The sequence below is a fragment of the Homo sapiens genome, chromosome 20 (assembly GCF_000001405.40).
Source record: "Homo sapiens chromosome 20, GRCh38.p14 Primary Assembly".
Taxonomy (NCBI): Eukaryota; Metazoa; Chordata; class Mammalia; order Primates; family Hominidae; genus Homo; species Homo sapiens.
In genome coordinates, this window is record NC_000020.11 from 14,142,271 (window position 1) to 14,156,594 (window position 14,324).

At 35.9% G+C, this 14,324-nt stretch overlaps 1 protein-coding gene across 3 annotated transcripts in view; it reads left to right on the forward strand.

Moving 5' to 3' along the window:
- The window catches only part of MACROD2 (mono-ADP ribosylhydrolase 2), a 2,057,682-nt gene that overhangs the window by 146,755 nt on the left and 1,896,603 nt on the right, over positions 1–14,324 (forward strand). The gene's annotated exons all lie outside the window — the stretch shown is intronic.

Below are 14,324 nucleotides of genomic sequence, written 5' to 3' on the forward strand. Positions count from 1 at the left end.
CTCGTTTTTGTCACCAGGGTGTGCTGTGATTCCACCAGTCTGAACTTACTGCAGCTGCTGTGAAGCTGGATGGGAATCTCTTTATTGTCTTTGCTGCTGCTTAGCGACCACAGGTTTTTCAGCTTGGCGCTTTACCATCACCTGGGCAACTGCCTGAGATCCCAAGTTATTTTCTTTTTGTGTTGTACCATCCTTTCCTGCTCATTTGTGTCCTCGTGTAAATGAAGGAGCTAGCATGTCTGGCTTGTTAGCAGAGTGCCTAGATGCCCGAGCTGTATGTTGTCAAGCATTATGAAGCTGCCACCACACTTATTATTTTGCTACATAAGAAATTAGTATGTCACCAAATTGATTGCTTTAAAAAATTTGGTATCAATAGCATTTTGTTAAACTTGCCACTGCCTTTAGTACTTGCATCTTTGGTGCTAAGTTCCTGATGAATTTGGAATTAATCATTAAAAATGCACATAGGCTTGATAAACTTCTATAAAATATTAATATTTTCTATAGAATATAAATTTTTCCTATAGCCAAATACTCCGTCATTATGAATAAATGTTATCTGAGATTCTGTTTATAAAGGATCACTTTCTATTCATTTGTGGCTTAAAAGAGATACTTATGTCTATGTAGTAAGAATTATGAAAAGAGCATAGATTGATTTAAAGTCTTAAGAGTGTGGGTGTACATGCATGCACACACACGAAATATAATAGGGCAGCATCTCTGGCAGACTAATCTTGCTTTGTATAATTAAGAAAACTTTTCATGTCTTTCATCATTCTTTTTTTCTAAAATTGAAGTCATCTCTTGATGGTTATCATCCTAGAAAATTTGATTAGTAGGAAGCTTAAACAAATAACCAAAATGAATTTATTAGCATGGCCATGTGATGTTGGCTTTGTACATTGTTTTCAATATATGTATTAATCTGTAGTTTTCCTTGAAAGGGTACTTGTTTCTACATTTTTATAGAGAGTTTCTCAGAAGCCTGGGCTGTTTAGTGAGAAATCTTGGGAAATGCCTTACCTTACTTTAGAAAAGAGACTTATTTCTCCAGATAACACTGTCTTTAAGCAAACAGTGTTTGTGTAACCACCTTGTAGCAACATTCAGCTTGAAGATAATAGCCTTCACATGCTTGATAAAATGATGAAATCACTGACCAGCAGGATCCGTCAGTGGAGTCAGCATTTTATCACAATGTGATAATTCTGTTTAATGTGGAAATGGTTACAAAATCTTCTGATATGTGTGGAATTCCTGTTTGATGACCACTTGCTTGGAGGAAAAAAAAAACCTGTGCAAGAAGGTTTAGTGTGTTTATTTCATTGTAAAGACATTTCTGACCATTTTCTTTAATTGAATAGCAGAAGTGTATGTTGGTTCATACACTTTGAAATGTAAAGTTTCTGCTCAGGCCATTGTGGAATGAGCATCTTCCATTAATCTCGCTTCACACTAAAATGAGTAAGAGACTTATGATTTTTTGAACTGCATGTTTAAATTGTAATTTTGCTGGAAAAGTTACCAAATGAAACATTTCTGAAGAAATTAAGATAATTAGACAAGACTTATGAACCACACAGTGTCATTATTTTTTTAAAAATATATAGATGAAAGACTGGACAAAGTTCAATTCTGCATTAAGGTTCCTTTCAAAGTCAAAATAATTAAGGTAATCAAGCCTCACACTGGGCAAAGGTTTTTTTCCCTCTTTTAATCTGATTGACTTTTTTTTCTATCTTTGTTTTTTATGAACTCATATTTTTTAGGAGATTTTAGGGAGAAAAACCCAGTGCCTAGATAGATGTGAATGATCATATACCAATGAATGCCATTAGCCTGTTTTTTCATGTTCTTTACTTGTGCTCTTGGAAATTTGAGTGTCTTAAATAATTGGAATGCATATAAAGACATATTTTTTTCTATGCTAAAGAAAAGCAAAAACTTTGAAATTTTTTGATAAGTGGAAATATAGATATTACAAAGAATATATTACACACTTCTAAATCTAAATTTGTCAATCACCGCTTTTTATAACTTAAGTTTTTGGTAGAAGTATGTTAGCCTTTAGTTTTGTACTGGAATATTTTTAGGGCTATCTGACCTTCTAGGTTTTCTTATCCCCTCAGTCTGACCTTCCACATAACCTGTTTCTGTTCATTTATTGATCTCCTACCTTTTACATATGGATTGATTCACTTTTCATTCATTCAACTAATATTTATTACCTGCATGTATTTGCCTGGTCCAGAACTGGGGTGAGATATTGGCCATAGGAAGGTATGATCCTATTGTCTGTTCTTACAGCACTTATGGTCTAACCAGGGAAAGAAAAAACAAATAATTGAATTTACAGTTAATTATAATTTTAAGTTCTATAGTATTCTTAAGCAGTCATTTTTTTACATCTCCACACAAGAGGAAATTGTGTATTCCTTCAGCGACCTTTAGAAGCAGCCTGCATTTTTTTGTTTGTGAGGATAGTTGAGGGTGGGGAGAGACTACACTGGTATGTTATTTGTATATAATGCACAGCTTTAGTGGTCCATAATTATGGGGGTGTTGCCCATTGTACTGTATGAAGTTTTTCACCTCCAGACTATGCCTTGCTTCTGTAGATTTCTCTCAGGGCTCATCATGTTCGCCACTCTCTATCTCAGTTCGCAGCTCCATTTCCACTGCTTGCCTTTTCTTTAAAGATAATCATGGTTTTGTCCAGGGCTTTGCCTTATCCTTTGGTTGAGAAGATATCCTCTGGATTTCCCCAATTCCTCCAGGTTTTCCTACCACATCTTCCCTGTAACCATGAGTGCCTTCTCCCTTGTATAGATACATTAATTATGAATTACTATATACCTCTACAAAAAAAGCACTGTATGTGTCCCTCTGCGCTAGGCTTAAAGGGAATTTAAGACAAAGGTGAATAGATTTGTTTCACCACAGTTTTTTTGTATTAACTAATTAACTTTATTTTATTTTTGCCTTTTTCTACATGTTCTAAACCGCCCCACCTCTTTTCTCAAAGAATTTATAACCTCGTCTAGTGTTTGTGGTAGGTATAAATAAATGTTAGTTAACATCATGATTATATTTTGTGTATGCCCCAGCCCACAGTTGGAGTTCAGAAAACATTGATTCCATTAATTTGTGTTTATTTTTCATAGATTTCTAAATAAATACAAATCTTTTAGAAAATATTGACTCTTCCATTTGTGATCATTATGCTTGAAATCACTAGGTAGAAGATATGTCCTGGGGAATATCAGAAACACTAGTTTTCTAGTGTTTTCTTACTGGTAAAGCCCTAGGTAATAGAGCTTTAATAGCATGAATCTCCAGAAATCTAAAGCTAACTTTAATTCTTTTCACTTTCTCAAAACTATTTGCTTCAATAGTTGAATAATATTTACAAAATAGTTAACTAATTTGAAAACTACACACAATATTGCTATTCTACTTGTTTCTCACAATTAAATTCTCTATTAGAAATCCTCATGGAGAGTTTGAGCTTCCTAAAGATTTATTGTAAATGTACAAATTTTCCAAAACAAAAAGGCAATTAAATCTTCTGAAATTTGAACAGTTAATTAAAATCAATATTAACGTAATGTTAACATAATTGTTTTGTGCATATTAGTTTATTGGAAGTCTGTTTAATCACTGCCTGGGAGACTATTGTTTTATGTAAACCAGTATTCTATTGAACGGTTCCTTTTTTTGTAAGACTGGTTACAGTTTTATCCCCTTTAAAGATTTCTGTAAGTGGCCAGGCGCGGTGGCTCACGCCTGTAATCCCAGCACTTTGGGAGGCTGAGGCGGGCGGATCACGAGGTCAGAAGATCGAGACCATCCTGGCTAACACGGTGAAACCCTGTCTCTACTAAAAATACAAAAAATTAGCCGGGCGTGGTGGCGCCTGTAGTCCCAGCTACTCAGAGAGGCTGAGGCAGGAGAATGGCGTGAACCTGGGAGGCGGAGCTTGCAGTGAGCCGAGGTGGCGCCACTGCACTCCAGCCTGGGCGACAGAGCGAGACCTCCGCCTCAGGAAAAAAAAAACAAAAAACAAAGATTTCTGTCAGTATCGGGTTGCTCTGCGATTTAGTGGTTGGCCTTGATAAGCTGAGTGCAAACTGTAAATTTGTTTTCTAGTTCTGCCCCTTCTCCACTGGTTGCTGCTTGTGTGGATCAGGTTTCCTTCTGTTCTAGTTAGCTGTAGGCTTGGGTAGAATTCAGCAGTTAATTGGAGGGAGGGAGAGAGGGACAAGAAGAGAGGCTCCACAATCCAGTTGCTGGTGTATGTCACTGTAGAATCCACTGACTGATATTTTATCCTCTGGAAATTATAAAATCCTACTTTAACACCTACTTTTCTCTTTGCTGATGGAGAAATCAGGGAAATCGTGGAGAAGTCTTTTAGATTGATGCTAAAAGATGGATTGATACTTCTTTCATCCTATCAGCCTTTTAGATTGATAGGATGAAGGAAGGTTCATCAAGTTTTTCCAGACATCAAGAGGTTAAAGTCCCTTGCTGGACGGGAGGTAGAGGGTCAAGTGGCTAAGTAGAGAATGCTTATAGAGCAGTGCTTCTCAAACATTGCCATCTATCACAGTCACTTGGAGAGCTAATAGAGAATACAGTGGCCCAGGCTTCTTGACATAGGCCAGGGCTTTTGTATGTATATAGTAAGTTCCCTAGGTGAGTCTAAGCTTGAGAACTCCTGGGGGTGAGAGTATCTCCAGTCAGCTTTTCCTGTAGTATGGTGAGTGGTAAAAGGGAAGCCAGGGACAGTGGGATGGAAGAAGGACTAACATCTGAGGGCTTCTTATGTACTGGGTAATGAGGTAGGTGCTTTCAGGTGTTATCACATTGAATCTTCACAGCAACACAATGCTGTAGATATTGCTTCTTTTTTATAGATGAGCAAACTGAAGTTCAGAATAGATAAATACATTTCCCAAGGTGGCATAGTGTGTAATAATCAGGATTTAAACTCCTTTGATTCTATTTGAATTCAAAGACCATGTTCTTTCCTTGCCATTCATTCCTTCAGCAATAGAAGTTGAGCCTCAGTTTTCTTATCTGTAAAATGAGATTAATAATAGTAACTCATTGAGTTATGAAAATTAAATAATATATGCTAAGCACATAAAGCAGTGCCAGGTACTTCTGTAGTAAGCTCCTAATGTTAACTATCATCATTATTTAAATTATACTCTAGTTCTTGCTATGGGACAGTTATGATGTTAGGGGATGGGGATACAAAGATGATAAGATATTACTTGACCTCAGGTAGTTTAACAATAGTGGGAAGACCCGACAGTTGAAAGTAGTATGTTATTTCTTTTTGGCATCCATTATAAAATATGTGAGTAAATTTAGATAGAAAAGCAAGGAATGCTGAAATTCAGAGATGGAGCCTGTAGTGGCGTGCATGGACAGACTTTCCATGCTCGAGACTTCCATTTAGTAAAAATTCAGGCCTGTTGTGGATCTTCAGATCATTTGAAAAACAGTCACTGAGCACTTGGGGTTTGCTGTATTTCTTTTTATTAAACCTATTTTTAGAACCCTCATGCTGATCTCACTCTTTTTTCTTTTTAATGGAAATATTATATGCAAGTACAGTGTCTGAAAAAAAAAGTGACTTTATGTATAGTGAAAAGCTTCCCTTCAAGTTATTAGAAATTTTAGATCTTTTGAGTCTTAATAAGAATTTGATTTTTTACCTTTTTATGACTCATAAGCAAATTCACCAGATAAGAAAAATTGAATCTGAAATTAGTTAAATTTTACTACTCTTGGATATTAGAATTAAGGTAATAGTAGAAGGATAATTGAATTTCTTAGCTAAATTGAGGGCTTGAAAAGTTTCTGAATTTCAGTACTACCACTGACTCATGTTTGAGTTATTATGGATTATCTACCCTTTGTTTATATGTGTGGTCTGTAGATAGCAGCAGGGCCTGGCTTAGTGCTTGGCATGAGCAGATATTCAGGACGTATGTTTGGGAAGAATGTATGAATGAGAGTAGGTAAGTAGCAAAGCTGGTGAATAAGCAGTTGAAGAAGATTTTTGTGATATCTTACCATATTTAATAAATTACTTTGGAAGACATTTGTGTACTGGGATCTGAAGAACATGACTGCATAATTTAATGATTTTGTAGGATTTATTTTATTAGGTCTTTTTTGGTGTCACTGCCTCAGAATGTTATTGTATTATTTTGATCTTCTTCACTTGTCAGGCTCTCAGATTTACTTTTGTCAGTCTTTTACAGTTTCTATACAGTCAAGGAAGCTGCACTGTTACATATTCTTTCAAGATTAATGTTTTGGGACCACATTCTTCATAGTTTCTTTTCTGTCAAACCAGTCATCTTTGGTGAGAAGGGTGTTCATGTAAGCAGAGAAGCTGGTGTTGTATTATGCAGAATGTCATTTCCTCTCACTTATTTTATTTTTTACCCAGAGCCTTTATCCTCTCTCAGCTCCTGAACTGTGGATAGAGATGCCCACAATCCAGCAAATACTTTTTGCCTTCTGGATTCTTTGTTCAGGGTCTTTGTGCTCAGTGTAGCTTCCTTCCTAAGTAGTTAATAGGTCCCTCTTCTGCTGATCTCTTCTCTCCCCTTCCCCCAATTGCCAGTGGTAAGAAGTATGAGGTTCCTTAACATAGCACACTTTTCTGCTGTTCCAGGTGCTTCTCCTGCTGTTCCTACTCTTCTTCCCCTACCTCTCTCTGTACCTAGCTCCTGTTTCAGTCACCAAGGTTTGGGGTGCAACTGATTCTGTCAACAAGTATGGAGCATAGTACCCCCAAATTAGTTTTTCAACCTTGTCCCTTCCCAACCTTCCTCATCTAGTAGTCCCCAATGTCTATTGCTGCCATCTTTATATCTATAAGTACCCAATGTTTTTTTTTTTTTGAGTACCCAATGTTTAGCTCCCACTTACAAGTGAGAACATGGAGTATTTGGCTTTCTGTTCCTATGTTAATTCGCTTAGGATAATGGTTTCTAGCTATATCCATGTTGCTTCAAAGAACGTGATTTCATTCTTTTTTATGGACACACAGTATTCCATGGTATATATGTACCACATTTTCTTTATTTAATTCACCATTGGTGGGCAGCTAGGTTGATTTGCTATTGTGAATAGGGCTGCAGTGAATCTACATATGTACATACATTCAGTGGAACCATTTATTTTCTCTTGGATATATACCCAGTAATGAGATTGGTGGGTCAAGTGGTAGTTTTAAGTTCTTTGAGAAATCTCCAAACTGCTTTCCCCAGTGGCTGAACTAATTTACATTCTCATTAACAGTGTATAAGTGTTCTATTTTCTCCATAGCCTTATAGCCAATGTGTGTTGTTTTTGTCTTTTTAATAGTAGCCATTCTGACTGGTGTGAGATGGTATCTCATTGTGGTTTTGATGTGCATTTCTCTGATAATTAGTGATGTTGAGCATTTTTGCATATGTTTGTTGGCCACTTGTATGAAAGTGACCAGTTTTAAATGAATGTGTCAATATAAAGTTTTCCTCCTGGTTCACAGTGTTTTTCTTAAGAGTATTGCCTTTTTTTCTTGAAAAAGAGAATAAAACTTGGTATTTTTTTTCCCAGACAAATCCTAAACCTTAAGTTTGGGAAAGCACTGTGGTCTTCTCCTTACATTGTATTTCTGTATTAAGACATGAATGTATTTTGTCTATAAACTGATTTATTTCTCTCATCTATCAATAGCTAAACATAATTTCTCTTCTTTTATGTCTCTCTCTCCCCACCTTTCCCCCATCATCCCTTCTTCTACCTCTTCCCTTTTCTCCCTACTTTTCTGCTTCTCTCTTACCATTTTTCTTCTCTCTTTCTCTCTCCTGGACCCTCTGATTTTCTCACTTGCCCTTCACTAACTATGCTCAAAGAAGTTAAAAACTGAGGTCGGAGATGGTTTTTGTAAAGACTAATAATTCTGATGCAGGACTAAATTAAAAATAGGGTTCTTACATGAGGTTTGAATTAGAAAGTTGTGTGGATATTGTCATGTAACTTCTTCTAGTAACCTGTTCTATTGCTTACATTTAATAAATAAAAGCCAAGCTATGACTTAAAAATCTTATCCCGTAATCAAAGTAAAGTCTGTGCTATTGTTATAGTGAGTGTTATACAAAAGCAAGTCAGTGTTAGTCATTTACTTTTGGAATTATTATCTTTCTTCTAAATGCAAGCAGTACTTTTTCCCTCAGCAGACTTTAAGTGTAAATAACTAGAGATAATATAAAAATATTAGGAAGAAGGGATTGATTATCTCTCATTTTTGATTAGTACAGATACAGAATTTTATTTTTCTTTTTTCTTTCTGAATTTTCTTCCTCCCTTCTGGATTTTTATCTTCTTTCGGCTTTCTTTTAAAGAGAATACTTCTTTGCTGGAATCAATTCAGATAAAAAGGTAGTAGTTTTTTATTGGTTAGGGAAATTTAGTAATAAAAAAGAAGAATGGGAAAGAGAGAGATAAGAAAAATGATGAGGAATCTAGTCAATTATGAATTTACCAGTACAGGAAAATATAATGGTAACATGGATATCTTCTGTTTCAGAAGAGCAGGCAAGGATTGGGGGTTACATGCCTAATAGTGATTCCTGCAAGTCAACTTTTCAAAATAGCAACATAGTGGAGAATTCTGCTGAATGATATTCTTAAAAGCATAAGGCCAGTATTTATCATTCAGCACCAAATAATTACAGATAGCTTTCTTCCCAGAGGAACAGAAGAAGTAATGTGCTAGTAAATGCACTAATTCTGTATCTGGCCTGCTGTCTGTCACTTCATGATAGTAGAAGAGTTGTGGAGGAAAGACGTTAAATCATTTGAGATGTTTTTGGTGCTATCTTGTATCTACTAGTCAAATTTTACATTACACATTATGCACTTAAAGGGCATAAGTTTTAAAGATATTTCAATGATGTTCTGCCTAGTGTAGATTTTTTTTCTGTATTGTGTAAGTTCCTGACTTGAGGTTGTGAAACCTTAGCTTGAGGGTGACAATGAGGTGAAGAAGAGATGTCTATGAACCTGATTTTGTGTGTATAGTATTTTGTGTGTTCTACTACAGAAGGTCCATAGGTTTTATTCCAAAACCTAATAAAAATAGAAACCTGTGCTATGAGACCCAGGTAAGAATTTGGCATGGAAATGTTAGCCAGGCAAATAGAGAAAAGATACATTGTTTTCATAGACTCAGCCACAAAACTGTGCCTTCCCCCTCTGATCTCAGCCGCTTACTGTAAAGAATGTTACCTATAAGTATTGTATTTTGATTTAGATTCCCATGTTTTTGAGTATAATTGTAACCAATTTTATGGTAATTATTTTTGAAAGAAAAACAAAAACATGGTCTAGTTATATGGCAGTTATCCAAAAGTATTGTCTCCAAAGCTGATTCCAGGATAAAAAAATTAACTATTTTGAATAATAGCTTTAGGATCACTTTGATAATTAGAGGTGGTAATTGGCCTTGTTGTATTGTATCTTTTTTTTTTTTTTTTTTTTTTTTTTTTGAGACGGAGTCTTGCTCTGTCGCCCAGGCTGGAGTGCAGTGGCACAATCTCGGCTCACTGCAAGCTCTGCCCCCCGGGTTCATGCCATTCTCCTGCCTCAGCCTCCCGAGGAGCTGGGATTACAGGCGCCTGCCACCACGCCCGGCTAATATTTTGTATTTTTAGTAGAGACAGGGTTTCACTGTGTTAGCCAGGATGGTCTCGATCTCCTGACCTCATGATCTGCCCGCGTCAGCCTCCCAAAGTGCTGGGATTACAGGCGTGAGCCACCACGCCCAGCCTGTTGTCTTGTATCTTAACACTCATTTTTAAGTCATTAATTAACTAAGCTACATACTTTATGTGTATTTCTCCATGTTTCAGAGATACTTTGGCTTAATAAAAAATATTTTTAAAGAGTCTTGTGGTTTTCTTTTTTAAAAATCAACTAAAATATCTGATCTATTAAGCAGAATTTATCATTCTGTTAACACAATCTAGTCTATCATATTTGACAGTAGTATTTCTCTAGTGCTTTGAATAAATTAAATCAGTCAACAATAATTGCATTTTTAGTATTTTAAAATTCTGTTCCTTTTTCTCCTCTACATTTTTTTTTTTTTTTTGAGATGGAGTCTCGCTCTGTTGCCCAGGCTGGAGTGCAGTGGCATGATCTCAGCTCACTGCAACCTCCACTTACCAGGTTCAAGCAATTCTCCTGCCTCATCCTCTTGAGTAGCTGGAATTACAGATGTGCACCACCATGCCCGGCTAATTTTTGTATTTTTAGTAGAGATGGGGTTTTGCTACGTTGGCCAGGCGGGTTTCGAACTCCTGACATCAGGTGATCCACCCACCTCGGCCTCCCAAAGTGCTGGGATTACAGGCATGAGCCATCGTGCCCGGCCTCCTCTACAATTTTATTTTAGTATTATTTATTCTCAATTAGTCCAGGTACTGATGCTTGTATTATGACCATTAATATATAATCTTGGCAACTCTTGTGTTTCTGTTGGTAAAACATTTTCATGGATTCTATCATAATGTGATCATTTTTACCTATCGTTAAGCAGTTTTTCATCATTGTATGCTTACATTAACTTTCCATTCTGTGTTGACAACCTTTTAATGTTAACCAAACAACTAAATTTACTTTGATCATAAATTTAAATTGGGATGAATGGGTAGTTATAGATAAAAAATAAATTAAATGTTATTATAGATAGATGTCAATAATCAACTCTTCATTTTCTGATTGAATTGAAATGTACTGCTAAGGTTATAGTTACGAAAACCAAGGAAAGTACATTGGGGTTTTCTTGGTGCCAGCATAGTGTTTGAGAAGAAAGTTCTAAGAATAGCAAGAGGAGGAGTGATGAATTTAGCAAATCTTTCATTAGTAGTAAGGTGTGATTGCTTGAAAAGAAAACAATCTTTTCGAGTGAGAAATAAAAACAGTGGCAGGAGTATATATAGAGAAAAATCCAATGCAAAACCGTCCTAGTGGGTGTCAGGTAACCCTACATGCTTTAGTACAATTAAAATAGGAATGTTCAAAGTGTAAAGAAACAGTGGAAAGAGAAGTCCATCTGGGAACACTGAGAGGGAAAGATGCCCAAAGTTTCAGCTGTTTTGTGGTCCTTGGGGCCTTCTGGGGCTACTGGTTTTACAGTTCCAAGAGCATATTAAGATTTTTTTCAGATACAACCAATGTTGCAGCTATTAATGAGAACAAACCATATTAACATTATTATTTTGATCCTCAAAGGAAACAATACAAATGCCTCAGCAAGTGCTTTCTGATTGTGTAAAACTGAAAATAATTAACTGGAAAATGATCAAGGAGTGATTTTCAAAAAAGATGTGATATATATGTTCTGTAATTGGCAAAAGCGAAAATAATCATATTAAGTTGAGAAAAAAAGTCCTTGATTAAAAGACATTCACCACGCCATTTAAAACATTTTGCAAAATTTTAGTTTTATGTATGTTATTTTTAAATCAGGTTCATATAACAAAAAGAAGCAAATGTTTTAATAATATATTTATGTAGTATCAGAAAGGAAGAAGACTCCTCTCCCATTTATTTTTCCTGCTGACTCTTGTTTTAAATTCTAATTTCAACACCCTTTGCCAGTTTGGAGAAATGATTTGTCAGCTGCTCTGTGAAGAACACTAAAATGCGATAGGAATATTTTAAATGCACAAGTACTGAAAGGAAAGTGCAGGCGTTTCCCAAGACTTTGAACTGATGCTATGTTGTTTCTTAACAGTGTTAGATCTACTAAATATTTAAAAGGCTTTTAAAAGATAAATGGCTTTTTTTCATTCCTCATGGTGCTGATGACTTGGTTGTGTCTGATTTTTAACTGATGTCATCAGTATTGACTTGAAACATTTCATGGGTCCTTTTCTCATTATTCCTGACGAGTGTACTGGGCAGCTTTTGTTGCTGAATGATAATTTTTTATCTAAGGAGAATACCAGCAACAAAGGGAAATTCCATGGGCGCTGAAAATGGAACCTGCTGGAGTAGGTTCAGTATGTAATTTAGTAATACCTTTTCTTTTCTTTTTTTTTTTTTTTGAGACGGAGTCTTGCTCTGTCACCCAGGCTGGAGTCCAGTGGCGCAATCTCGGATCATTGCAAGCTCCGCCTCCCGGTTCATGCCATTCTCCTGCCTCAGCCTCCCAAGTAGCTGGGACGACAGGCTCCCGCCACTACGCCCGGCTAATTTTTTTTTTTTTTTTTTTTTTTTTTTTTTTTTGGATTTTTAGTAAAGACGGGGTTTCACCATGTTAGCCAGGATGGTCTCGACCTCTTGACCTCGTGATCCGCCCGCCTCGGCCTCCCAAAGTGCTGGGATTATAGGCGTGAGCCACCGCGCCCAGCCTAGTAATACCTTTTTAAATTTTATCAGTGAGCTCTGCTGTAGTTCCTGGAAATTCTGGTGTCATATTCCTTTGTGCCTGTAGCTGTTCATCTTCCCTTGGGCCACAAGCCTGTATAATAACTCATTTCACTCTGATCTTTGGAAACACTGTGTGAATCTCTATTTTAGCATTTATAATGCATGTCATAATTATTTGTTTACATGAAACTCTCCCTTGCCAGAATGTGAGCTCCTTAAGGATGAGAACTAAGTGCTTTTTTCTTTGCATCTCACCAGCACTCAACACTGGGTAGAAAGAAGGGAGCCTTGGGGAGGCCTCTTGGATGTGTGTTTCGTAGTTGAAATCTCTGTTAATTTGAGTTAGAGTAAGAGTACTTTGTTTTGACTTGAAAGTCCTAGTGAGAGTCATTCCTTAATCAAAATAACTGATACATGTATATATACACACATATATATAACTCATATATACATGCATTTATGTAGACCTTTATTTGAAATATATATGAAACATAACATAAGTGAAATATATAAATGTATATTTGAAATTGTAATCATAAATATATCTGTAATAACATTCAAATTGAAGAAAGATAATTGGCTCAAAAATCAGTTAAAAATTTCTTCCGAGATTTCTACTTTTATAAGTCGTATCTTTTCATGTATATTTTACTTTTTCTGTACAATTAAATGTTGTTATAAATACCTTCCCATCGGTATGCTATTTCACGTATAGATTGATTATCTGTGGTATAAGGAATGTCACAAATTTCAAAACTTACTTTTTTGCCTTTTTGAAGTATTTGACTAGGGAATCCACAGACATGACTGATTAAAAGGGATTATCAGCTTTCACCTAATTCAACTTTAAGCCTTTAGTCTGGCTTTATTTAAACAAGTCAAGATAAATGTGTTCCTGGCTTTTTTAATCTTAAAATAGGAAATTCATTTCCTCTTTAGTAATGCATTTTACTATGTTTTATTAGTTTTTTTTCTGTTGTGGTTAAACTCATTTTAGAAAACTTTTAAAATTCAGGATACCCTTTTCTATGAAAACAAGCAGAATTAATTTCTATTATTAATAATCAGCCTATAAAAGTTATCTATCATTTTGTTATCTTAATATTTAATTATAAATATCAGTTTTTAATTTACAATGGCTACATTAATTAGCTGGGTGCAGTGGCTCATGCCTGTAATCCCAGCACTTTGGGTGGCCAAGCCAGGAGGATAGCTTGAGCCTGGGAATTTGAGACCAGTCTGGGCAGCATGGCAAAATCCTGTGTCTACATAAACTACAAAAATTAGCCAGGCATGGTGGTACATGCTCGTAGTCCCAATTACTTGGGAGGCTGAGGCAGGAGGATTGCTTCAGCCTGGAAAGCTGAGGCTGCAGTGATCTGTGTTCATGCCACTGCACTCCAGCCTGGGCGACAAAGTCTCAAAAAAAATAAAAAATAAAAATAAATCACTATGCCAATGTGGGAGTTATGATCATCTCTGTTTTTAAAAATTATCTATGCAAGCATGGGGCATAACCTTTGTTATAGCTCTTTCACTGCATTTTTTGGCTCTATTTCCCAAATAAAATAGAGAAACAATATTTTAAGGAATGTATTGTCCCCTTAGCTTTCTTATTTTGCCTTTTCAGGAACTATTTGCGTTTGCGGTATTGCTTAACTATGAAATGCTAGAATTCATAACCCACTATCTTCATTTCCTCCAGGCTAGTAGCTTAATAACATGAAGAAAAATTGATTCTTGTAGTACCTAAAATGACATTTTCTGCCTACATAACCTGTTAATCCAGTTTTGAGTTCCCATTACATTTTCATCGTCAGTGGCAAGCCAGATTAATTTATAGTATAATCATTCAAAAAGTTTAG